This window comes from Homo sapiens, chromosome 19 (genome assembly GCF_000001405.40).
Source record: "Homo sapiens chromosome 19, GRCh38.p14 Primary Assembly".
NCBI lineage: Eukaryota > Metazoa > Chordata > Mammalia > Primates > Hominidae > Homo > Homo sapiens.
The window spans coordinates 32,874,676-32,901,791 of record NC_000019.10 but is presented as its reverse complement, the minus strand read 5'-3'; the positions used below and the strand labels follow the sequence as shown (position 1 = coordinate 32,901,791).

Genomic DNA, 27,116 nt, shown 5'->3' with positions numbered 1-27,116 from the left:
TTAGCCAGGTATCATGTGTGCCTGTGGTCCCAGCAACTTGGGAGGCTGAGGTAGGAGGATTGCTTGAGTCCAGAAGTTCGAAGCTGCAGTGAGCCATGATTGTGCCACTGCACTCCAGCCTGGGCAACAGAGTGAGACCCTGTCTCACACAGACACACACGTAGTGTGTGCCCAGCCACACCCTCTCTCCGGTGGTCTAGCAGCTTGGTCCCAGGTCCTCTAGGGCCCAGGATGGGGAGATGTTTCCACAGAGGCATTCCAAGTGACCCACCCAGGGGCTGGAGGGCTGGGCTGTTATCACTCATCTTCCTCGTTATGTGACTGCCCCATTTTAGCTTCATTGTGCTGGATACGAGCATGTAATGTTTTTGTCCTTCAGCCAATTACAGAAGGAAGAAGAGAAAGAAAGGGCTGAGATGGAGGAGTTGATGGAGAAGCTGACAGTCCTGCAAGCGCAGAAGAAGAGCCTGCTGTTAGAGAAGAACAGTTTGACAGAGCAAAACAAAGCACTGGAAGCCGAACTTGAACGAGCACAGAAAATCAATAGGTTTGTGTCTTTTTTTCCTTTAAGTTGCTTTTATTTTCAATAGTTAAAAAAGACAAATGGTCTGGGTACAGTGGCTCACTCCTGTAATCCCAGCACTTTGGGAGGCTGAGGCAGGCGATCATTTGAGGTCAGAAGTTCAAGACCAGCCTGGCCAACATGGCAAAACCCCGTCTCTACTAAAAATACAAAAATTAGCCAGGCGGTAGTGGCACGCACCTGTAGTCCCAGCTACTCGGGAGGCTGAGGCAGGAGAATCATTTGAGCCTGGGAGGCAGAGGTTGCGGTGAGCCGAGATCACGCCACTGCACTCCAGCCTGGGCAACAGAGTGAGACCCTGTCTCAAAAAAAAAAAAAAAGACAAATGAAGAATATTCCATTTCATTTCTTTTAATCTTTTCTTTTTCTAATAGTGGCTATAAAATGGAAAAGGGTAATTGAAATTACTGGATATCAGATTATAATAAGTATTGTTGCTGTTAACCAATGTTAACCAACATTTCTAAAGTCTATAATTGAAATATGGTTGATGGTCATATTGATAACCCTAAGATTCAAAGTTCTAGGAGCTCTTTTCTAACCATTTCCTAAAAGTCTACTTTGGAATTTCTGGATCTTTTTTTCGAAAGTGCCTTTTAGAACATAAGCCAGAAAGTTAATAGAATAATACTTAATGAGCCTATGGGCCAGGTGTGGTGGCTCACACCTGTAATCCCAGCACTTTGTAAGGCTGAGATGGGCAGGTCACTTGAGGTCAGGAGTTCAAGACCAGCCTGGCCAACATAGAGAAGCCCTGGCTACTTAAAAAAATATATATATGTATATATACAGAAAATTAGCTGCGTGTGGTGGCGCATGCCTCTAATCCCAACTACTCAGGAGGCTGAGGCATGAGAATCACTTGAACCTGAGAGGCGGAGGTTACAGTGAGCCATGATCATGCCACCGCACTCCAGCCTGGGTGACAGAGCAAGACTGTGTCTCAAAAAAAAAAAAAAAAATGAACCTATTCATTGTTAGACATTTGCAACTCCTCTTATTCACTTGAGTTGGGGTCACTAATTATGCTTGGTTTCAAATTAAATTCAGTTACCTCTTCTCACCTTGAAACTTAATAGAAGATTTAGGTTGCTGAAGAATAGCATTTAAATGCTAACATACTTGCTGTTTTTGTAATACAGATATTCACCATGCCCTAGCCATGTAAACTAATGGGCTTTTTATTCTACCATTTGGGGTAACTCTCTAGGAAATCTCAAAAGAAAATTGAGGTCCTCAAAAAGCAGGTGGAAAAAGCCATGGGGAACGAAATGTCTGCTCATCAGTACCTGGCAAACCTTGTTGGCCTGGCAGAAAACATAACCCAGGAACGTGACAGTCTTATGTGTTTGGTAAGTTTCCTGAAGGTTACATCAAGTAAACTGCGAGTTAATATGCAAATGTGATTTTAAGAGTATTTTAAAAAATGATCTATTAAAAGCTTTATCCAGGCATTCCCTGACTTACGATGGATGGTTCCACCTAGGAATTTTCGACTTTATGATGTATTTATTGGGAAGTAATCTTATTATAAATTGAGGAACTCCTTACAACTCATAATGAAGTTACCATTGATACTGAATGCCCATTGCTTTTACACCATTATAAAGCTTAAAAAATGTAGATTGAACCATCATAAGTTGGGAACCATCTGCTGTATTGCCAGGATTAAATGCATTTTTGATATACAGTTTGTTCAATTTATGATGGGTTTATCAGGATGTAGCCCTGTTGTAAGTCTAGAACCATCTGTATTTTAAAATTTCAACTGTATTACCCTGGCATGGTGCTGTGTGCCTGTAGTCCCAGCTACTCAGGAAGCTGAGGCAGGAGGATCATTTGAGCCCAGGAATTCAAGACCAGTCTGGGTAACATAGTGAGAACCCATCTCTACAAAAAAAAATTTAAAAATTAGCCAGGCATGGTGGCATGCACCTGTAGTCTCAGCTACTCAGGAAACTCAGGTAGGAGGTTCATTTGAGTGTGGGAGTTGAAGGCTGCAGTGAGCTATGACTGTACTACTGCACTGCAGCCTGGTAGACAGAGAAAGACCCTGTCCCTAAAAAAAAAAAAAAAATGCTAATTAAACCAGTCTTGAGATACCATTCTCAAAAAATGTTACAAAACATTTTTTTCTTTTTAAACAATTGTATCTTTTTATTAATGCATAATATTTTTACATTTTAAAAAATATTTTAAATATATTTACATGCACATGTGGGGGTACATGTGATATTTTGTAATGTGCATAGAATGTGTAACAATTAAGTCAGGTATTTGGGCTATCCATCACCACAAGCATTTATCTTTTTTTTTTTTTTTTTTTTAAGATGGAGTCTCACGCTGTCACCCAGGCTGGAGTGCAGTGGCGTGATCTCGGCTCACTGCAACCTCCGCTTCCTGGGTTCAAGACATTTTTGTGCCTCAGCCTCCCGAGTAGCTGGGACTACAGGTGCATGCCACCACACCTGGCTAGGTTTTGTATTTTTACTAGAGACAAGGTTTTGCCACATTGGCCAGGCTGGTCTTGAATTCCTGGCCTCAAGAGATCTGCCCACCTCGGCCTCCCAGAGTGCTGGGATTACAGGTGTGAGCCACCACACCCAGCTGAGCATTTATCATTTCTGGGTGTGGAGAATATTTCAAGTCCTCATTGCTAGCTATATTGAAATATACAATACTTTGTTGTTAACTTTAGTCAACCTACTCTGCTGTCGAACATGATAACTTATTTCGTCTATCTAACTGTATGCTTATACCTATTAAGCAACCTCTCTTCATTCAGCCACCTGCCCCCCAGCCCCCCACAAACACACCCATACCCACATGCATCCTAGCCTCTGGTAGCTATCATTATAATCTCCACCTCCATGAGGTCAACTTTTTTAGCCCCCACATATGAATGAGTACATGCCATATTTATCTTTCTAGGTCTGGCTTATTTTACTTAACGTAATGGCCTCCAGTTCCATCCATGTTGCTGTAGATGACATGGTTTTGTTCTTTTATATGGCCAAATAATATTTCATTGTGTAAATAGAGCATATTTTCTTTATCTGTTTGTCCATTGATGGACACTTAGGTTCATTTCATATCTTTGCTACTGTGAATTGTGCAGCAATAAACATGGGGGTGTAGATATCCCTTTGATATACTGATTTCCTTGCCTGTGAATAAATACCCAGCAGTTGGATTGCTGGATCATATGGTAATTGTTTTTAGTTTGTTGAGGAACCTCCACACTGTTTTCCATAATGGCTGTACTAATTTACATTCCCACCAACAGTGTATGAAAGTTCCCTTTTCTCCACATCCTCATCAGTGTAATAAAATAAAGTAAAATTTCAGGCCAGGCATGGTGGCTCACTCCTGTAATTCCAGTACTTTGAGAAACTGAGGTGGGAGGATCACTTGGGTCCAGGAGTTTGAGACCAGCATGGGCAAGATAGGGAGAACCTGTCTCTACAAATAACGAAAAACTTAGCCAGGCATAGTGGTGCATGCCTGTGGTTTCAGCTACTCAGGAGGCTGAGGAAGGAGGATCACTTAAGCCTAGGAGGTCGATCATTCCACTGTACTCCAGCCTGGGTGATAGAACAAGACCCTGTCTCAATTTTAAAAAAGAAAAGAAAAAAAATTTCAGGACCCTCTAAATGTATTATGCAAAGGGGGAAGTTAAGCCCTGGAGACTGAGCAATGTAGCTTGTTGGCTATTCTGCTTCTTATAGGTTAGTTCTCTTCCTCATTGCTGTTGTTTTGTAAATGACTAGGAGAAACCAGAGACCAGACCTTCTCCTCCTTCCAGTCACTCATCTATCTATAAAGATGAACTGCTTGCTTCCTTTATTGTTCTTCTACCTAAGACCAGATGGCACCCATGACCCCATGACTGTTATATCTTCAATGTGGAATGTTAAATATACCTTTCCTGAAAGAAAAAGACTGCCTCAACTAATTAGATTGTTGTAACTATGCATTCAGTCTTACATAGAAAGACACTGAAATTCTGTTAAGCTTTCCTACATGTGGTCCTATTAGCGATCCCAAACTTGTGCACTTCAGAACACAGACTTCTGTTCTTTGGAATCTACTTCCTGGGTGGCCTGTCCTCAAACTTTGTGCTTGAATAAACTCTCTTTAAACTAGAGTCTCACCCTTTTGATTATTTTAGGTTGACATCAGCCTCTGTTATTTTTTGTCTTTTTAATGATAGCCATTCTAACTGGAGTAAGATGATATCTCATTGTGGTTTTGATTTGCATTTCTGTGATGATTTGTGGTGTTGAGCATTTTTTTCATATGCCTGTTGCCCATTTGTATGTCTGCTTTTGGGGAATGTCTATTTAGATTCTTTGCCCACTTTTTAATGGGATTGGTTTTGTTTGTTTGTTTGTTTGCTATTAAGAGTTGTGTTCCTTAAAAAAAAAAAGAGAGAGAGAGAGACAGAGAGAACTGAGTTCCTTGTATATCCTGGGTATTAGCCTCTTGTTGAATGAATATTTTGCAAATATTTTGTCTCATTCAACAGGTTGTCTCTTCATTCTATTGATTGTTTCCTTTGCTGTACAGAAGCTTTTTAGTTTAATATAGTTCCATTTGTCTATTTTTGTTTTTGTTGCCTGTGCTTTTGGGGTCTTAGCCATGAAATTTTTGTCTAAAGTCCTAGAGTGCTTCCTCTATGTTTTCTTCTAGTAGTTTTATAGTTTCAGGTCTTAGATTTAAGTCTTTAAACCATTGTGAGTGGATTTTTTGCATATGATGAGAAATAGAGATCTAATTTCATTTTTCTGTATATGGATATCCAATTTTCCCAGCACCATGTATTGAAGAGGGTGCCCTTTCCCCAGCGTATGTTCTTGGTGCCTTTGTTGAAAAGCAGTTGGCAGTAAATATGTGGGCTCGTTTCTTGGTGCTTTATTCTGTTCCACTGGCCAATGTGTCTGATTTTGTACTGATACTGTGCTATTTTGGTTACTATAGCCTTGTAATGTATTTTGAAGTTAGGTAGGGTAATACCTTCAGCTTTGTTCTTTTTGCTCAGGACTGATTTGCCTTTTCAGGCTCCTTTTTGGTTCCATATGTATAAAGTAGGATTGTTTATTCTATTTCTGTGAAAAACGTCATTGATGTTCTGATAGGGATTGCACTGAATCTGCTGATTGCTTTGGGGAGTCTGGTCATTTTAATGATGTTAATTCTTCGCATCCATGATCATGGGATGTCTTTCCATTAGTTTGAATCAGCTTCATTGTCTTTCATCAGTGTTTGTAGCTTTCCTTGTAGAAATCTTTAACTTCTTTGGTTAAATTTATTTCTAGGTATTTTTTTGTAGCTATTGTAAATGGGATTGCTTTCTTGATTTCTTTTTCAGGGAATTCATTATTGGTGTATAGAAACACTACTGATCTTTATACATTGATTTTGTATTCTGCAACTTTACTAAACTTTTTTTTTTTTTATCAGATCTAAGAGTCGTTTGGTGAAGTCTAGTTTTTTCTAAATATAAGATCATGTCATTGGCAAAGAGAAAAAATTTGACTTTCTCTTTTCTAATTTGGATGACTTTTATTTCTTTCTCTTGCCTGACTGCTCTTGCTAGGACTTCCAGTACTGTGCTGAATAAGAGTGGTGAAAGTAGTCATCCTTAACTAGTTTCAGTTCTGAGAGGAAAGGCTTTTTGCTTTCCCCTACTCGGTATGATGTTAGCTGTGGGTTTGTCATATATGGCCTTTATTATGTTAGGTATGTTCCTTCTATGTCTAGTTTATTAAGTGTTTTTATCACGAAGGATGTTGAATTTTTATCCAATTTTTTTCTGTTTCCATTGGTGTGCTCATATGGTTTTTATCCTTCATTCTGCTGATGTGATCTATGATGTTTATTGATTTGTGTATGTTGAACTGTCTTTGCATCTCTTGATCCCACTTGATCATGGCATATTATTTTTTTGATGTACTGTTGAATTTGGTTTGCTAGTATTTTGTTGAGGATTTTGCATCTGTGTTCATTAGGGATATTGGCCTGTAGGTTTCTTTTTTTATTGTGGCCTTGTCTGGTTTTGGTAGCAGGGTATTGCTGGCCTGAAAGAATTAGAGAGAATTCCTTCCTCTTAAATTTTTTTGGAATAGTTTGAGGAGAATTTGTATTAGTTCTTCTTTGTAAGGTTTGTAGAATTTGGCAGAAAAACCATCTGGTCCTGGACTTTTCTTTGTTGGGAAACTTTTTATTAATGATTCAATCTCATTATTTGTTAATGGTCTGTTCAAGTTTTCTATTTCTTCCTAATTCAATCTTGGTAGTGTTGTCAATGGGCCAGTTCAGGTTCTTGACTTCACAAAAGAATTTGAGAGCTAGTCCAAAGTAAGAGCAGGTGAAGAAGTCTATTGCATAGCAGAAGTCACTCTGAGAGACAGAGTAAGAGACAGACCCTAATATTTTAAGGGGATGCCCTTTACAGGAGCTGTGCATGCATATTCATAAAGTATTGGTGAGGTCAAGTGTGAAAGGTGGAACTATGGTTGGTGCATGCACTCAGCATGTACATGCTCTAACATGTATCACATGTATAATTAGCATATAAAACCTCCACCTAGGGTGTGTTTTTTACTATTAAAATGAGGAAAAGCTCACTGTAAGCTAAACCTTGTGCCTAGCTGTACATGCAGGACCCTGGAGATATCTTTAGCCCTGCCCAGGCAGGAATTGGTAGTTAATAGCTTCTTGGGCTTTTGGTGTTGATTGGCTGGAGATTGGGGAAGCTACATTACGATTAAGGGATTTTTGTTCTTTTTCCTAGGCCATATTGGGTATCAGGAACGTGTAACCACCTGGTAGTTGGCTGGGATCCTGTGGGACTACTTATCTTGCTAAGATAAGTTAGGTGCTGACATACAAGGGCGCACATGAAAGGAGCCCACTGAGAAAGGAGCATGTGGGGCTTCACTAAAGGGGACAAGTCAGTATGGTCTCATAACTTTACTTATCCTGCCTCTGTAGGTTGTATGTTGTCCAGAAATGTATCCATTTTCTCTAGGTTTTCAGTTTGTTAGCAGTGGATTTTCACTATGTTGCCCAGGCTAACCTTGAACATCTGGATTCAAGCAATCCTCCTGCCTCCTGCGTCACTGGGACTATAAGAACGTTTCACCCTGCCTCACTTAGTTCTGCTCTGATCTTTGTTTTTTCTTTCTTTCTACTAATTTTGGGTTCTGTTTGTTCTTGTTTATCTAGTTCCTTGAGGTACATCATTAGGTTGTTTATTTGAAATCTTTCCACTTTTGTGATGCAGGCATTTATTGCTATAAACTTCCCTCTTAGCATTGCTTTTGCTGTATCCCATAGGTTTTGGTATGTTGTGTTTGGTATGTTGTGTTTCAGTTTTCATTTGTTTCAAGAAATTTTTGATACCCTTCTTAATTTCTTCATTGACCCAATCATTGTTAAGGAACATGTTGTTTAATTTTCATATGTTTGTACAGTTTCCAAAGTTCCTCTTGTTATTGCTTTCTAGTTTTAGTCTACCATGGTCTGAGAAGATACTTGACATGATGTCAGTATTTTTAAATTTGTTGAGCTTGCTTTGTAGCGTAACACACAGTGTATGCTAGACAATGTTCTATATCTGATAAGAATGTGTATTCTGCCGTTACTGGATGAAATGTTTTGTAAATGTCTATTAGGTCATTTTGTCTAAAGTGCAGTTAAATTCAATGTTTCTTTGTTAGTTTTCTGTCTTGATGATCTGATTGCTGAGAGTAGGGTGTTGAAGTCCCCAACTATTATTGTATTGTAGTCTATCTCCCCTTTTAGATCTAATAATATTTGCTTTATATACCTGGATGCTGTGGTGTTGGGTGCATATATGTTTAGAGTATATGTCCTCTTATTGAATTTATCCCTTTATTATTATAATATTACCTTCTTTACGCAGTTTTTGACTTAAAGTTTGTTTTATTTCATGCAAGTATAGCTACTCCTGCTTGCTTTTGGTTTCCAGTTGCATGGAATATTTTTTTATCCCTTTACTTTCAGTCTGTATGGATCTTTACAAGTGAAATGTGTTTCTTGTAGGCAGCACATAGTTGAATCGTGTTTTTTTTTTCTGATATCCATTCAGCCAGTCTGTATCTTTTAAGTGGAAAATTTAATTAATTTACATTCAAGGTTACTATTGATATGCGAGGACTTACTCCTATCATTTTGTTGATTGTTTTCTGGTTGTTTTGTGTATCATTTTTCCTCTTATTTATCTTATTATTCTATAGTGATAACATTTGAGTTCCTTCTCTTCCTCATTTGTGTGCTTGCTCTACTAGTTAGTTTTATCATTTCATGTGTTTTCATGATAGTAGATATCGTCCTTTCAATTCCAGGTGTAGGATTCCCTTAAGCATTTCATGTAGGATGGGTCTAGTGGTGACAGATTCTCTCAGTGTTTGCTTATCTGTAAGTCTTTACTCCTTCATTTATGAAGGATAACTTTGCTGGGTATAGTATTCTTGGCTGGCTGACAGGTTTTTTTTTTTTTTTTTTCTTTTAGCCCTTTGAATATATCGTCTCATTCTCTCCTGGCCTGTAAGGTTTCTTCTGAGAAATACACTATTAGCTGGGCACAGTGGCTCACACCTGTAATCCCAGCACTTTGGGAGGCTGAGGCAGGCAGATCATCTGAGGTCAGGAGTTCAAGACCAGCCCGGCCAACATGGCGAAACCCTATCTCCACTAAAAATGCAAAAATTAGCTGGTTGTGGTGGTGCACATGCCTGTAATCCCAGCTACTTTGGGGGCTAAGGCCAGAGAATTGCTTGAACCCAGGAGGCAGAGGCTACAGTGAGCTGAGATAGTGCCACTGCACTCCAGCCTGGGCAACAGAGTGAGACTCCATCTCAAAAAGAAAAAAAAAGGAAAAAGAAAAAAGAAAGAAATACGCTGTTAGTCTTATGAGAGTTCCTTATATGTAACTAGACATATATATATATATATATATATATATATATATATATATATGTCTAAATATATATTCTAAATATATATGTCTAAATATATGTATGTCTAAATATATATATGTCTAAATATATATGTCTAAATATATGTATGTCTAAATATATATATATATATTTAGAATTCTGTATTTGACTTCTGACAGTTTGACTATAATGTCGTCGGGAGAAGACCTTTTTGGGAACCTGAGCTTCCTATATCTGGATTTCGAAATCTCTTGCTAGACTTGGGAAGTTTTCAACTTATTTTGTTGAGTAGGTTTTTTATGCCATTAAACTTCTTTTCACCCCTTGGAACACCAGAAGGCATGCTTCATTTTTTTTTTTAATTTTTCTCTCTTTCTTTTGCTCCTTTTCTCTCTCTCTCTCTGTTTCTCTCTCTCTTTCTCTCTCTCTCTCTTTCATCTCACTGAGTATTTAAAAAGCAAAAGAAATTCTTTCTCCTGCTTGATCTAGTCTATCACTGAAGCTCTCAATTGTATTTTTTATTTTATTCATTGAATTCTTCAGTTCCAGGATTTCTGTTTAGTTCTTTTTTATATCTGTCTCTTCGATGAATTCCTCATTCATATCCTGAATTGTTTTTCTGATTTCTTTATAGTGTTTATTTGTGTTCTGTTATATTTTACTGAGCTTCTTTAATATCATTATTTTTAATTCTTTTTCAGGCATTTCATAAATTTCTTTTTGTTGTTGTTGGAATCTGCTGTTGGAGAATTATTATGTTCCTTTGGAGGTGTCATATTGCCTTGCTTTGTCATGTTTATTATGTCCTTTCATTGATTTCTGCAAATCAAGTGTAACAGTCACTTATTCTAATTTTTTGTATTGGTGTATGTGTGTGTGTGTGTGTGTTTGTGTGTGTGCCTGGGGCAACCAACATGGTGGGACACTCCCTGCAGGCTGTGGTGAAGAGGATGGGGTGATCCCCAGGCCCTGGGTGGTGTGCTTGGGTTGCTTTGGCAATGGAGGCATTGGGCAGGGGAAGCCTGTCTTCAGGGCACATGCACGTGCGCAGGGCTCTGCGGCTGGAGGGGGTGGGGTTGCTGTTAGTGACAGGGGCCCCAGCCAGGCAGGTTTCAGGATTGGGGAGCACTTGCTTCGGCTCCCTTGCTCTCATGGGCAGCCTCTTCAGTGCACTGCACCACACTCTTCTGGGTATGCAGGACACTGTAGGGTAGAGTGCTGGGGACCCGCTGCTCCACTGGGTCCACCTGGTGCCTCGCCGCTGCAGCCTTCCGGGTGCATGTGGGGAGATGTCCGTGGCGCTCCAGGGATGTGGAGATGCAGGGGCTGCTGGGTCCCAGGGCAGGATGTAGTCTGGTGGGGGCTGGACTCTCAAAATGATGCCACTGTGCTGCAGCTACCTGGAACCTGGGTCAGTGTGGGACCCAGCGTGAGCCCCCGCTCTGGAGCAGTGGGGTCACACAGACTCCAGGGAGCTCCCTGCACCAGTCTCAGGGCCTGCAGGGGTTGAGGGGCTCCCCTGGGGCTGGGATCACAGGAGTGTGTGGTGAGAATGTGGACCCCTGGGGATCTCTCACCCTTTCCCGACACAGGGGAGCCTCTCCAGGCTCCCGACCAAGACCCATCCTGTCTGGGCTGTCGTCTCCCTCTCCTTCATTGCGCGGGTGCCGCCCAGCCCTCCCCTGTCGAGTTCCCGTGGTCTCCGTTAGATGTTCTCCGTGCGATGACTGACTCCTGTTTTGGTTCTCCTGTGTGGAGGAGTCTGACATCCTGTGCCTCCAGCCAGCCACCCTGAGCCTTCCTCCTGAAAACAGGTTTTTGTTTGTTTGTTTGTTTGGTTTTTGAGATGGAGTCTCGCTGTGTCACCCAGGCTGAAGTGCAGTGGCACAATCTTGGCTCACTGCAACCTCCGCCTCCTGGGTTCAAGTGATTCTCCTGCCTCAGCCTCCTGAGTAGCTGGGACTATAGGCGCATGCCACCACACCTGGCTAATTTTTTTGTAGTTTAGGTAGAGACGGGATTTCACCATGTTAGCCAGGATGGTCTCGATCTCCTGACTTTGTGCACCTCAGCCTCCCAAAGTGCTGGGATTACAGGCGTGAACCACCGTGCCCGGCTGAAAACAGTTTTTTAAATTACAATAATTGCTGATAAGAGTGTGGTCAGTCTGGCCATACTTTACTGGTGACTTCTGAGTCCTTTCCAGAGCCTTCCAGAAAGCAATTTGACTTTGACACAGCATGGATGGAGCCTTGAAGGCACTCAAGTGTCTGGCCCAGCGCTGCCCCTCTGAAAGGCAGCTGAACCCTGGCACTCTCTGTGGTAGCATTAAGTGCCCATTTTCCCTTCTGCTGCTGTGTGTGCTGGCCTTCCTCACCGGGACATGGAGAGGGCAAGAGAAAGCTTGCTGAAAAATCTAAAGGGCCGAACAAACCCTTTCATCCAGAGATTTCCTGGGAACCTGCCCGCCACATGTTGAGGCCACTGTAAACGCAAAGCCGTCTTGTTTGTAGGGCAGGACGTGCAGGGAATCCCGGTCCCTGGGGTGCAGGCCCCATGCCTCTCCCATGGGCCAGGGAGTATCACAGGCTTCCACAACGAAGTCAGGATCCTCCCAGACCCTCAGACACTCTCCTCTCGGCCCACCCCCAATATTTGTGGGCCCAGGATGGAAATACAAATGGAGGCCACTGACTGTCTCCAGATATTTAAAAGTTACTTGTTGAGCCAACAAACTGTTAGTAAAATGTGTTCCCTTCTCCTGCCTTGACCTTTATCATGGCCTGGCTGTCAAGTTTAGAATCCTCAGGCCCCTCAGAGTCAAAGCGGAAATGTAGGGTGTGGGAGAGCTGCTTTCTTCCATCCTGGCTCCACCTGTCACCAGGGACTTTTGTGTCCAAGCAGACACCCGCTATCCATGCAGGGAGAGGCATGGGAGCTGCCAGGATGTCTGGGCAGGGCTCTTGGTCCTCTGTAGCCAGGTCTGGAGTGGACACATCCCTACAGCCTTGCAGGCCCCTTGACCCTGGGAGTGCCTAGGCCAGCCCCTCTAGCCAGGTCCAGGGGTGTTAGTGGCTGCTCTGCCAGTCTCTGCCCTGTCCTAGGACTGAGCCACGTACTCCTGCCCTACCCCATCCTGGTCTCCAGGAGCTCGTGAGAGCCCTTACCCAACCCTGTACATACACCAACAGTGGGAGGACTCCACTCTGCCTTGGGAAGTTTCTGCTGATGACCTCTGGCTACAAATCACTTTCGGTTTCCCCAAATTAGCTGGGCATGGTGGCGCGTGCCTGTAGTCCTAGCTACCCAGGAGGTTGAGGCAGGAGAATCTCTTGAGCCCAGGAGGTGGAGGTTGCAGTGAGCTGAGATCGCACCACTGCACTCCAGCCTGGGTGACAGAGCGAGACTTTGTCTCAAAAATAAATAAATAAATAAATAAAACAAAAAGAAAAAACAAAAATCACTTTCAGTTTCCCCAAGTATGACTGCACCATCTTGCATTTATTACATTTTTGTGGGAGACACAATAGTCTTAGGTACTGAGATCTTTTTTTTTTTTTGAGACAGAATCTCGCTATGTTGCCCAGGCTGGAGTGCGGTGGCGCGATCTCAGCTCCCTGCAACCTCCGCCTCCTGGGTTCAAGCCATTCTCGTGCCTCAGCCTCTTGAGTAGCTGAGACTACAGGTGCACACCACCAAGCCTGGCCTGAGATCTTTTTAAATCCTGCTTCTAGGGTGGATTTTCCATGTGACCTGGAGCAATTTCTCTGTGACTTAGCTTTCCTTCTGGAAAATCAAACTTGTCACCACTAGCCTACCTTGGAAAGAATGCTCACCATTACTTATTTTATTTTAGCATCTGAAATAGTTAATTTATAGAATGTAGCAGGTCACGTCCAACCTGGATATTAGTTTAAATCATTCGACTTCAAATGATGTCATCTCTGCTGGATGTATTGCCTTTCATGTATGGCTTGGAGAAACGGCATTGTGCATTCATATTATGTTATCCTTAATTTTGAAATTGTTCAAATGAGTCAAGTTATGAGTTGATTGGCCTCTTGGCACTTATTCCTTGGATGCGATTGAAGGAAAGATAGATTCCATAAGAGTAGAGATGCATTCTGGAAACCTTTGCAGCCTCTCCCGTTCCCCTGGTCTGTGGGGCTGGAATTCTTCTCTTTGTGTCGAGCAGGGCACCCCACATGCCCTGTTCCTGCCCATCCTCAACTGTTGGCCTGAGGCCCAGGCCCTCACACAGTGGGTGGGGAAGGGGTTGAGGCAGGACAGGTTGCAGAATGAAGATTGTGAGCAGTAGCAGTAACACTCTTTGCAAAATAATTGTTTGTTATTTCAATTTTTCTGTAAAACTGAGAGCCCATTTATCACCCTTCTCCCTAGGCAAAATGTTTAGAAAGTGAGAAGGATGGAGTGCTTAATAAAGTCATAAAAAGCAACATTCGCCTGGGAAAGTTAGAGGAAAAAGTCAAGGTAAGTGGTTATTTGGCCTCAGAGATTTCATTTTCAGATGGGAATGCAGGCTCACTGCTGTGGATTTTTGTGTTTAAGAAAATGACACCTTTTGCATGTGCATCACTAATAGTCCACAGAGTAAAAGTATTGTAAGGTTTTGCTGGCAGAATAGCACCTCTCACCTCATTCAATAAACTTTGGTTCATTCACACAATAAAATACTGCATAGCTGTTTAAGAAAAAAGGATATGAAGCAAGGCACAGTGGCTCACGCTGTAATCTCAGTGACTCAGGAGGCCCAGCCAGGAGGATCGCTTGAGGTCGAGAGTTTGAGACCAGTCTGGTAACATAGCAAGACCCCAATCTCTACAAAAAATTTAAAAAGTTAGCCAGGCATGGTGGTGCTTGCCTGTAGTCTCAGCTTCTCTCGAGGCTGATGGGGGAGGCTCCATTGAGCCCAGGAGTTCAAGGCTGTGGTGAGCCGAGGTCACACCACTGTACTCCAGCCTGGGTGACAGAGTGAGACCCTGTCTCAAAAAAAAACCAAAACCAAAACAAAACAAAACACCAATAAAAGGAGAGACAGGATCTCACTCTGTCATCCAGGCTGGAGTGCAGTGACATGACAATGGCTCACTGCAGCCTCGAACTCCCGGGCTCAGTGGATCCTCCTGCCTCAGCCTCCCAAGTAGCTGGGACTACAGGCAAGCACCATGGTGTCTGGCTATTTTTTTTTTTTTGTATTTTTTTTTTTTGTTTAGAGATGAGGTCTTGCTATGTTGCCCAGGGTGGTCTTGAACTTCTGAGCTCAAGTGATCTGCCTGACTCGGCCCTCCCAAAGTGCTGGGATTACAGACATGAGCCACCTCACCTGGCAGGGACCCTGTCTCTTTAAGAAAAAAAAAAAAAGAAAGGCTGAAAGGGAAGGGGCTATGCCATGCTGTTTATGAGGGGACTCGGCATGGAAGTATTGAGTAATTTAAAATCCCCCTGTGGGGTTTTTCTTTTCTCTCTTTCTTTCTTTTTTTCTAATTTTCCTGCTTTTTACTTCCAAAAGAGAAGGAGTGATCCTCGGAGTAGTTGGCCTTGCTTGGGGAATCCATAGCGTTACCATTTATCTGAACAGGAATAGTAAAACCGGCTCACCCGGAGGAGACACCTGTGAGCAGGCCCCAAGGTAGACAGGCCAGGGCCTCGGGGGGAATGAAGAGAAAAGGCTTGAGAAATCAGAGGTGACATTTCAGGAAATCCCTGCAAAATATCACTCTTCAAAGGGAGGACATCACCTTGGAAATCCGGGGCTGTGACGAGATCTGGGAACTGAGGGATGCAGGCAGAAGCCCCTCCAAACCAGGCTGAATTCAGAGAGTGGGAGATGGGGCTGCGAGGTGGAGGGTGGTGGGAACATGGGAAGTCTGGAAGGACACTCTGGCCCAACTGTCGCTCCCACCCTCCCAGGAACCTCCTCTCATTCCAGAGGAATTCAGAGGCCTTCATATAAAAGCAGTTTAAGGAAAAGGAAGAAAAATAGAAGCATAAGTTCCTACTGACGGAAACTGCTGAAAACTTACCAGGAAAAGTGTTGCCGCAAAGGAGATCAAAACTATACTCCAAAGTGAACCACTAGGTAGCTGGCTAGAGAGCTGGAGATAGCTGGAGAGACAGGACTTCAGGAGGCAGTCAGAGCCAGGAAGAAATGTCACAGAGCAGACACAGGACCTCAGGAAGAGGCAGCAAGGCCTAGGAGGGTGTGGGAGGGAACTGACATGACCCAGGGAAGAAATAGAAGGGACAGAGAAGCGGTTTAAGAAATGCAGTCTGAATTCTATGGAGACAGATGTCATAACAGCGCAATAAGGGATATGCAGCTAGAACCGAGAAAGACAGACAGGAAAGTGGAAATGGAGATGTGCAAAGGATTCGGTGGACAGTGATGGAGATCTAAGAGACTGACTTCTAGAGCCTCCAAAGAAGAAACCAAAACAGTGGCTTATTCTGCTCTAAACTGTAACTCATAAAAACCTTTCTGAAATAAAAGAAGACTTGAATCTATGTCCTGAAAGGGCACATTATGTACCTAGGGAAAACTGACACAGAATGGACCCAGAAAATTGACACCAAGACATACGACTTTAAGATAAAGAAAATGGCCAGGCACAGTGACTCATGCCTGTAATCCAAGCACTTTGGGAGGCCAAGGCAGGCAGATCACTTGAGCCCAGGAGTCTGAGACCAGCCTGGGCAACATAGGGAGACCCCAGTCTCTACAAAAAATACAGCAATTAGCCAGGCTTGGTGGCACATGCCTGTAGTCCCAGCTACTCGGGAGGCTGAGGTGGGAGGATTGATTGAGCCCAGGAGTTTGAGGCTGCAGTGAGCTATGTTCGTGCCTCTGCACTCTAGCCTGGGCAACAGAGCAAGACCCTGTCTCAACAATGAGTCCTGCCAACCAAGAGTTAATTGGGGAAACTTCGGCAAAATTAACTTGTAGTGAGCGAAGAATATATTTAACTGTAAAATAAGACTTAGAGCGGGAATAAGGCTGATAGAATTGTATGTAAATGTTTTCTGACAATGTAGTAATAATACAACCAAGGAAACTGATGGGCAAAGGGGGAAGGAAGGTAGAAAGTAGATTGCACTTGCTGATTTCTTCGTAGGTAATAAGAGTCAAGGGATATCATTAAAGCTGAAAAACCAAGTGGTACGAGCTTAAGCATACTTAAGCAGGTGAACAGAAGGAGGGGAAAAGTGAAGAAAACGTTGTCATGAGCTAATGTATTGTTACTTTTGTTAGGGAACCAATGGATACGATCTAAAAACAGGGGACTAAGAACATGTAATATAAAGGCGTAAGAATAAAGCCAACTACAAGAATCGAGCTTTATTCCTAAATAGTGGAATTAGAGCTGGGCAGAGTGGCACGTGCCTATAATCCCAGCTCCTCAGGAGGCTGAAGTAGTAGGATCGCTTGAGACCAGGAGTTCAAGATCAGCCTGGGCAACATAGAGACCCCATCTCTAAAAAAAAGTTTAAAATTAGCCGGGCTTGATAGCCAGCGCCTGTACTCCCAACTCTGCAGGAGGATCTTGAGCCCAGGAGTTTAAAGCTGTAGTGAGCTATGATCACACCACTGCACTCCAGCCTGAGGGACAGAGCATGGAGCAGGATCCTGTTTCTAAAAAAAATTGTTTTAATTTTTTTAAATGGTAGAATTATAACAGCAAAAAAGCAAAGAAAAAGACTATATTAGTTTAAAATCTTTTAAAAATATGTACATAAAACAACCAAACATAAAATAACAAAATTGAGACCAAAGAAATGTGTCCTATAGGTAAATGTAAATTAGCTTAATTCACCTATTAGGGAAAACAATATTTTTTGGATTGGCTCATAAAGCAAAATGCTATTCCACACTAGACCCAAGAGCCAACCTAAAACAAAGTATTCATGAAGGATTTAAATTGAAAGGATGGGTAGAGATAACCCAGATTTCTGCAAACACAAAGAAAGTAAAGGTCGAAATCTTAACATATGCCAAGATAGAATTCAGACCAAAAGCACTAAATGACACCAAAAAAAAGGGGGAGATTTTTATAATACTAAAAGACTACAGTTAATAATATATAGTATGAGCTGGGTGTGTGGGTCCCTGTAGAGGAGGCTGAGCAGGAGGATCACTTGAGTTGAGTCTGAGAGTTCGAGGCTGTAGTGCAGAATGATCAGGTCTGTTAACAGCCACTGCACTCCAGCCTGGGCAACATAGTGAGATCCTGTCTACATCATCATCTATAGTAATTGTGAGTATCTATGCGCTAAATAACACAGCAGCAAATTTATGAAGTGTAGACTACAGGAAATACAAAGAAAAATGGAAACTTGGTAATAGGAGCTATAATCCACCTCTCTTAATCCAAGACTGATCAAGATGTTAAACAAAATAAGAAAATAGAAGATTTAACAACATAATCAACAGGGTATATTTACATATATATAAAAGACACAAAAATTGATCATTGCTTGGCTACAAAGAAAGCCTCAATAAATCCCTAAAGTAGAAATAATGTAGGCATTTGTTTTTTGTTTGTTTGTTTTTAGACAGAGTCTCACTTTGTCGCCCAGGTTGGAGTACAGTGGCGTGATCTTGGCTCACTGCAACCTCTGCCTCCCAGGTTCAAGCAATTCTCCTGCCTCAGCCTCCCCAGTAGCTAGAATTACAGATGTGCCACCACGCCCAGCTGATTTTTGTATTTTTAATAGAGACAGGGTTTCACCATGTTGGCCAGGCTGGTCTGGAACTCCTGACCAGGCTGGTCTCGAACTCCTGAACTCAGGTGATCTGCCCGCCTCAACTTTCCAAAGTGCTGGGATTACAGGCGTGAGCCACCGCACCCGGCCAGCATTTGTTGGTCACAAATATTAAAAACAGAAATTAATAAGCAAAATCAAAAAACAAAAAGTTATTTCACTTGGAAGTGTAAAAACTGTGCACTAAACAATTCTTGGGTCAGAGAGAATGTATAAACTGAGTGTCAGAGCTTCTTATAAAAAAATGAGTCTGTGGGACTACATGTCAGACTCTCTGTGACAATAATTTTAGAAATGCTCGGCCGGGCGCGGTGTCTCACGCCTGTAATCCCAGCACTTTGGGAGGCCGAGGCAGGCGGATCGCGAGGTCAGGAGATTGAGACCATCCTGGCTAACATGGTGAAACCCCATCTCTATTAAAAAAAATACAAAAAAATTAACCAGGTGTGGTGGTGGGCACCTGTAATCCCAGCTACTGAGGAGGCTGAGGCAGGAGAATGATGTGAACCCGGGAGGCGGAGCTTGCAGTGAGCTGATATTGCGCCACTGCACTCCAGCCTGGGCCACAGAGCAAGACTCTGCCGTCTCAAAAAAAAAGAAAAAAAATGCTCACAGGAAAATTCAGAACCTTCAGTACTATACAGTAAAAACGAAAGAAGGAAAGTAAATAGCGGGCTTTCATCTCAGCTGTCTGTTTGGTGACAGAGAGTGACAGCCCTTGTTGGATTCTTCAATGAGGCTGTCTTGTCAAGGTGAAACAGTGCTGACCAGTGGCAGCATTAGTTCTTAGGTTACCAGTTGATGCAGGGATAAGAGTTGTCCTGGAAAAAATACAGTTGTAGATTAATTTGCAAGAACATCCAGTTTGTTCTGTGATGGTAATTTTTTTTTTTTTTTTTTGAGACAGGGTCTCACTGTGTCACCCAGGCTAGAGTGCAGTGGCGTGATCACACTCACTGCAGCCTCCGCCTCCTAGGTTCAAGTTATCCTCCCACCTCTGCCTCACAAGTAGCTGGGACTACAGGCATGCACTACAACGCCTGGCTAATTTTTGTATTTTTAATAGAGACAGGGTTTCACCATGTTGGCCAGGCTGGTCTTGAACTCCTGACCTCAAGTGATCCGCCTGCCTCAGCCTGTAATAGTGCTGAAATTAGAAGCATGAACTGCTGTTTCCAATGGTGATATTTTATGTTTTCATTTATTTATAGCATATAAAGAACTAGGCTTTATATACATTAAAATTTGGTTTTATTGTACCTGAAATTCTTTTGTCACTTTTTATGACTTTTATGATCCAGACTTGCAATCCCAGACCAAACTTATCCGGGGTTGCTAGATTTTAAAGGCTCTGACACACAAGGAGTGGGTAGGGAGCACAGCCAGGAGGCACTGTCCACCCTGGCCTGGCAGCGTCCCCTCATTCACAGAGTCCTTCCCCCGACCAGGGCTACAAGAAGCAGGCAGCACTGAAGCTGGGGGACATCAGTCACCGTCTGCTGGAGCAGCAGGAGGACTTCGCCGGCAAGACAGCCCAGTACCGGCAGGAGATGCGGCACCTGCACCAGGTGCTGAAGGACAAGCAGGAGGTGCTGGACCAGGCGCTGCAGCAGAACAGGTGGGGCATGCGCCCTGCGCCATGGCCCGCAGAGATGTCTGAATGTCTGATTGAGGGTTCTGCTAAAACCCTCTGGGCCTGTTTTATTTGTTCCATTGTTTAATTTTGTTTCTACATTTTACTCTGATCTGAATGTAATATTGGTCTCAAGTTTTATTTGCTCCTCATCTTCTTTATTCTTTTAAAAATTCCTCTTGTTTGAACTGGACTTCCGGAATCAATGCACACCTCTAATTGCCTTTCTCTTTTTTTCTGCTGCCTTCCATCTCACTGATATTTTTATTTTGTCTCATTTTCTTTTTATTTTATTTTTTGAGACAGCATCTCACTCTGTCTCCCAGGCTGGAGTGCAGTGGCACGATCTCGGCTCACTGCAACCTCCGCCTCCCGGATTCAAGCGGTTCTCCCACCTCAGCCTCCTGAGTATAGCTGGGATTATAGGCATGAGCCAGTTTTGTTTCATTTTCTTGAGAGATTTTATTAATTTTTGATTAGGTATTTTATTTCTGTTATTTCTATTATTATTATTATTATTACTACTTATAGACAGGGTCTGGCTCTGTTGCCCAGGCTGGAGTGCAGTGGTGTGATCATAGCTTACTGCAGCCTCAAACTCCTGGGCTCAAGCCATCCTCCTGCCTTAGCTTCCCAAGTAGCAGGGATTACAAGCATGAGCCACTGTGCCCAACTTTTTTAAACTCTTCATTCACTGCAGTCAGGGCCTGGGGATCCCCACTCATGGGGAACAGTGTAGACTCACTCCAGATCCATTTGAGAGCAGGCCGGTGGCTCTAGTCCCCAGGTGATGCCTGGCCTTTCAGAACAGGTTTCCTTTGAAGATCTGCAGGTCTCCCACCCACCCCTCCTTTCTTTGAGGGTCCTTCACATCCTCCACTTACCTACCTTCACAGTGCCTCTAGTAGGAAGAGAAACTTGGACAAGAGTGGGTCCTGAGATTTTCTGTCACTCTTGATCTGCACGATCTCTCAGTCTACAAACATCCAGGGTTTGGCATTGACTTTTGTCCTCAAAGCAACTGATACTTTGTCTGCCTCTTTGGTTTCAGTTTAGGCTTCATTTTTTCTGCCCTTAGAGACTGCCTGTTCTTTCGAGTTCAGCCATACATTTAAACATGATTGCTATAATTTACCAAATATCTTCAGAAAACCAAAGTCTGGGGAATTTTTTTTTTTTTTTTTTTTTTAAATACAAGGTCTTGCTCTGTTGCCTGGGCTAAAGTACAGTGGCACAATCTCAGCTCACTGCAGCCTCAAATTTCTGGGCTCAAGTCATCCTTCTGCCTCAGCCTCCCGAGTAGCTGGAAATACAGGTGCATGCCACCACGTGGGCCCAGCTAATTTTTAAGTTTTTTGTAGAGATGAGGTCTCACATGTTGCCCAGGCTGGGGCTTTTTTAGACATAGTTTAATTAAGTTGTTCTTACCACACAGTGGGCATCAGGGGCCTTGGAAGGAAGGAACGTTCACAAGAAAAGTGACTCTGGCCAAGTGGGCACATCACTGGCCTCCCTGAACTTCAGTGTCCTGCTCTTTAAACCGTGGTGCGAAGTCCACCTGCAAATCCAGTTTCCAACATTTTCCAGAACCATCTGGCAGTGTCCGGGAAGGAGCTGGCCTCTCCAGCCTGGCCATGCTCCCCGATGGGGCTAAGCACCTTGTGAGGTGTGGCTCGTGTCCTGGTCTATTCCCAGTGGACTGTGGCCCTGTGAGGATGTGGCCACCTTCATCTGTCCTGTCTCCCCAGCACACCACAGGGCACTGCATCCTGGTTCTGGAAACGCTGCCCTGTGGCTCTTTCCAACCTCACATGCCTCGGCCCCTCAGGGCCTCCCCATCCCGGCACATGGGCCAGGCCAATCTTCTCCATCTTGGCAATGAGTCTTATCTCCTCAGGTCCCCCACCTCACCCCCTGACTCGCTCTTAGCTCTGGGCTGTATGGAGCGGAAGACCTGTGGAAGGTCACTGAGTGCTGGCCAGGTCACAGTGGACAAGCAGACGGGACACAGGAGGGGCTGTGTGGGTGCCTGTGGCCAGGCCATCGTGCTAGAGCGTCTGGCTGGCCAAGGCCAGCCCTGCAGTTCCTGCAGTTCCTTATTCGACACGCCCAAGTTCATTCTTGAGAGAAAACAGGGATTGCACTGGCGCCAAAGTCAAGGGCAGAACATAGAGGGAAGAGAAATGCCTGTGCCGTCCTGCTGCTCCCCATTCCCAGGGCACTGGCCGCTTCATTCCACACTGAGCCCCAGCCTGGGCTGTCCTGCTGCTCCCCATTCCCAGGGCACCAGCTGCTTCATTCCACACTGAGCGCTTGCTTCAGAACCCAGGCACCGAGGGCTCTGTTCCCTGCTGATAGCGTTCTTCTGTTTTGAGTTCTTGCTACTTTGGGATTCATATGGGCTCTATATTATTTTTAAAATTGTGCCATTTTAAACTTATTTCCCTCAGAGAAATGGAAGGTGAACTTGAAGTTATTTGGGAATCTACCTTCAGGGAAAACCGAAGAATCCGAGAACTTCTCCAGGACACACTCACGAGGACAGGCGTGCAGGACAACCCCAGAGCTCTGGTTGCCCCCAGCCTCAATGGCGTCTCTCAGGCAGACCTGCTGGACGGCTGCGATGTCTGCTCCTATGACCTGAAGTCTCATGCCCCCACCTGCTAGAATCTGCGGGAGCCCGTGGTGTAGCCTCCTCTGGCCTGAAAGGTCTGCCTCACACAGGCCTTCCCTGCAGGGCAGCCCATGGTGGCAGCCGGAGGTGCGTAAGCCCACTGAACGCTGCAGGGCAGGGAAGAAATAAATGGTCTCATAGTTTAATCCATTGATAACATTTTGCTTTATTTTTTAATTTTTTTTTTTTTTTAGAGCTAGGGTCTCACTCTGTTGCCCATGCTGGAGTACAGTGGTGCAATCATAGCTCACGGCAGCCTCAAACATGTTTGAGATCCTTCTGCTTCAGCCTCCTGAGTAGCTGGGACCTCAGGTGTGCACTGTCAGGCCCAGCTAATTTTTTTCTTTTTTGTTGAGATGAGGTCTTGCTATGTTGCTCAGGCTGGTCTTGAACTCCTGGCCTCAATCTGTCCTCCTGCCTTGGCCTCCCAAAGTGCGGGAATGACACGTGTGAGCCACTGCGCCTGGCCCATTGTGCTTTATTTTAATAACGTGCTGCTGAAATCTGTTTTAGCCAGGGCATGTTCTCTGGCCACATTGCCACTGAGATGAGTTCTATGACACCCACTGCTCTGGTGAGTAGGTGGCCTGCTGAGCAGGCCTGCCTTCCAGCTCCTAGATCTGCAGCTGGGAAGTGCTGGAAGGGTTGGGCGGGCAGCTGAGCCCTCGTGCCATGTGTCAGATGGGGAAGTGTCACCCGAGGAGCCAGGCCATGGCACCGGCCCTGATGATAGCTGTGCGTGAGCTCTGGGGGCCTTTTCTTGTTTGGTCAAAAAAAACAAGGTGCTGCTGCTGTTCATGCCCTCTAAGTTGTACAAACCTTTTCTGCCCTCTCCCCTAGCCCTTCTCTATCCTCCTGAGCAAGTACTTTATTCTCTTTTGTTTAGTTGTTACTTTTGTTTGTTTGTTTTGAGACAGGGTCTCACTCTGTTACCCAGGCTGGAATGCAGTGGTGCAATCACCACAGCCTTGACCTCCAGGCTCAAGCGATCCTCCCATCCCAGCCTCCTGAGTAGGTGAGATGACAGGTATACACTAACATGCCTGGCTAATTTTGTAAAAAAAAAATTTTTGTAGGCCAGCCATGGTGGCTCACTCCTGTAATCCCAGCACTTTGGGAGGTCGAGGCAGGCGGATCACCCGAGGCCAGGAGTTCGAGACCAGCCTGGCCAACATGGTGAAACCCCATCTCTACTAAAAATACAAAAATTAGCTGGGCATGGTGGTGGGTGCCTGTAATCCCAGCTACTTGGGAGGCTGAGGCAGGAGAATTGCTTGAACCTGGAAGGCGGAGGTTGCAGTGAACCAAGATCACGCCATTATACCCCAGCCTGGGCAGCCTGGGCAACAAGAGCGAGACTTTGTCTCAAAAAAAAAAAATTTTTTTTTTGGTAGAGATGGGGTCTTGCTATGTTGCCCAAGCTGGTCTCAAACGTCTAGCTTCAAGCAATCCTCCTGCCTAGGCCTCCCAAAGTGTTGGGATTATAGGTATGAGCCACCGCGCCTGGTCTGGGAAGGTAATTGATTCTGGAGCCACACAGCTCCCCACCCATGTAATGAGAGCCCTGGCTTTGAGCTAAGATAGAGTCCCTGCCCCACTGCCACCACCAAGAAGCATACCAGGGGGCCATGGTTCTGTCCCATGTGTGTTAGATGACGTGCCACCTCCTCAGGAAAATTACCCCAGCCGCTCAGGACCATTCAGTCCCAGGCATGCTGGAGGGACTTGGGGACATTGGGCTACAAAGGACCCTAACTGTGGGACTCAGGGGTGGCACCCTGCAGCATCTCCTTTTCAGAGCCCCTCGCAGTGAAGTCCTGCCTTGTTTCAGGTGGGAAGGAGGCCCCAGTACTGGTCCTTGGTCATGTGTAGAAGTTCTACGTGTGATCTTTGATTGCCAGACGGAAGGGTGAGATAGAAAATCATAGTTCTTTTATGACTCTATAAGCTTGTTCAACAGTTGAATCATTGTAATTTAATTTTATTTTACAAGCGGTAGAAAGACTCACTGGGATTGAAAACTGTGTATCATCTCCCTAGGAGATGACCTAACAAATAACTGTGATGCTATTTCAAAGGCATTTACGGCCGCTCTGCAGCCTCCTGTAGACAGGCTGACAGGCGGCGGCAGCCCAGCGTGGCTGCGCGGGGCAGGAGTGCTTGTCAGCAGGAATGCTGCTCCCGCCATCGTGACCTAGAGAACCACTGTTGACATCCCTGTCTTTCTGCCTTTTATGCAAACATTTTATTCTTTTGAGAAGTGTCCACTTTTGTTCTTATGTTTCTGCTTTAAGTTTTTCACACAGTGCAAACATACTTTGCAAGTATGGGGACTCCTGGATGGCACTGTGACCAGGGCAAGGGCAGGTGTCCCACAGACACTATCTTCTGCCCAGCCTCCTGCTGGGTGCCATAGGAAATGGGCAGAGAAGCCACGAGTCCAGGATGCCAAGGAGGGCGGGGCAGGCAAGGCAGAGAGGCACCTGGGTGCTTGTGAGATTCCAGGAAAGGACAGAAACATTGGGGTGCTTCTGGGAGGAACTGGCACGCCCCGGCCCTTGCAGAGTGGACAAGGTTTCAGGAGCTACAGAAGGGTGGAGAGGGCCCCCAGGAGCACAGCAGGCACTCAGAGCAGCAGGAGGGGGTTTGGTCAGAGCTTGGGTGGGAAATGAGGCCGGACTGCACAGAGGAGAACTGGGTCTGCTGGGAGGGGCTCCTCCTTCCCCATGCTGCAAGTGTCTGGTCTGAGCAGGGAACCCTTCTCTTTCTTGGTCCTGGTGAGGTTTCATACGGCATTGGAAGATTCCTGGTCAAGCAGCTGTAGAACATGACCCAGGCACGCGAGTGAGCCTTGCTGGCTTTGCCATTATTTAAAAGCAGCCCTGGGCATGGTGATGGCGCCTATGGTTTCAGCTACTCAGGAGGCTGAGGTGGGAGGATCACTTGAGCCTGGGAGGTTGAGGCTGCAGTGAGCTATGATCATGCCACTGCACTCCAGCCTGGGCAACCAGGTGAGACCCTGCCTCAAAAATAATACAATAAAAAGTAAAAGCAGCCCTGGGGAAATGGAGACAGTGGACAAAGCAGGCTGGGGCACCAGGTGTGCATGTGGGTGTGAGTCTGTCATGAGAGCTGTCCTGAATGCCCTTAACGCCACTGAACTGTATGCTGGAAAACAGTGACAACAGTGGATTTTGTTATATAGACAATTAAAAAAGAAATAACACCCAGGCCTGCTTCCTGAGTGTTTGTGTCATTTTACTTTCCCACCACCAACCTCCGCGCAAGTTCCGGTTGCTCCGCATCCTCATCAATGCTTGGTGGTGTTGTCAATAACTGTGTTGAGAGGACAGAGATTTAAGGCCGAGGGTGGCCTAGCATTTAGCCTCGAGCGCAGCTGTCACTGGCTCCTCACCCCCTCCCCTACCTGTATCGTTGGCGGGAATGAAAGGCACAGTCCCCAGTGTGGGTGGCTCAGGAGAGCCCTCCCTGGGCCCAAGCAGCTCTTCCAGCAGGGAGGGCTTGAGCCGGATACAGATCCCACAGCAGGAGGCTGAGCCTCTTGGGATGGGGCTGGGCTGACATCTGAATTCTTGAGTAAGACTGGAAACATCATCCACTCAAAACTTGGCTGGGCGGCATGGGGAGGGCTCAGTGTGCCCAGGTTTGTGGCACCTCTCTGCTGGGTCACAGCTGGGCAGGGGTCCACAGGTAAGGAGTGGCTGCAGCCAGGAGTGGGAGAGGGGATGGGTACAGCTTGTTAGGCCTCTCTTGGTTTTCTCAAGGTGTGAGTCCATGGCCCCAAAGCTGGGCAGGAAACCTGCTGCCCTTCCAGCCTCCCAGGCTTGGCTTTTTTTTTTTTTTTAGTTGAGACAGTCTCGCTCTGTCACCCAGGCTGGAGTGCAGTGGTGCGATCTCGGCTCACTGCAACCTCCACCTCCTAGGTTCAAGCAATTCTCCCACCTCAGCCCCCCGAATAGCTGGGATTACAGGGTGTGTCTCACCACGCCCATCTAATTTTTTTTATTTTTAGTAGAGACAGGGTTTTGCCACGTTGGCCAGGCTAGTCTCAAACTCCTGACCTCAAGTGATCCGCCCACCTCAGCCTCCCAAGGTGCTGGGATTACAGGCATGAGCCACCATCCCCAGCCTCAGGCTCGGCTCTTTTCCTCATTTTTGACTAGGGGTGGACTGGGTAGGAGGGTTTTGGAGAGAAAGAAGAAGGGCGGCTTTTGTAGTTGATATTCACCTGCAGGGCCCCGCTGGGCTGCTTTGCAGGCCCAATGTCTGCAAACAACAGGACAGAGGTAGTGAGGACCCAGGCTGGGCTATGGAGACTTCAAACCTACGGAGCGCATGAGGCTGCTTCCTGGAACTGGGCATGCCACCTGCTACTGAGGACCCAGGCTGGCTCCCCGCGTCTGTGCTGGGTGCTCTGGGCCGCCATCCCCTTGTTCCACAGTCCACCCGTGTGTCAGC

At 45.1% G+C, this 27,116-nt stretch overlaps 1 protein-coding gene across 4 annotated transcripts in view, besides 1 other annotated feature; it reads left to right on the top strand.

The window, feature by feature from the left end:
* The window catches only part of CEP89 (centrosomal protein 89), a 96,034-nt gene extending 70,167 nt beyond the window's left edge, over positions 1-25,867 (top strand). For 3 of the 4 annotated variants that reach the window (XM_005259344.4, NM_032816.5, XM_047439562.1), the window contains 5 exons: positions 380-547; positions 1,794-1,935; positions 13,951-14,040; positions 19,779-19,948; positions 22,414-25,867. In XM_005259344.4, coding sequence (XP_005259401.1) covers positions 380-547; positions 1,794-1,935; positions 13,951-14,040; positions 19,779-19,948; positions 22,414-22,630 — 787 coding nt within the window. In that variant the 3' untranslated portion in view covers positions 22,631-25,867. Of the gene's footprint in view, positions 1-379; positions 548-1,793; positions 1,936-9,122; positions 9,510-13,950; positions 14,041-19,778; positions 19,949-22,413 lie in introns of those variants that run through there. The other variant, XM_017027398.2, reaches the window with a different exon arrangement.
* Positions 25,751-26,636: an enhancer, noted in NCBI's record as "H3K4me1 hESC enhancer chr19:33366062-33366947 (GRCh37/hg19 assembly coordinates)". NCBI's record gives its function as "activates a minimal SCP1, AML or CMV promoter by ChIP-STARR-seq in primed H9 embryonic stem cells {active_cell/tissue: H9 hESC(primed)}" and the evidence as "EXISTENCE:reporter gene assay evidence [ECO:0000049][PMID:30033119]".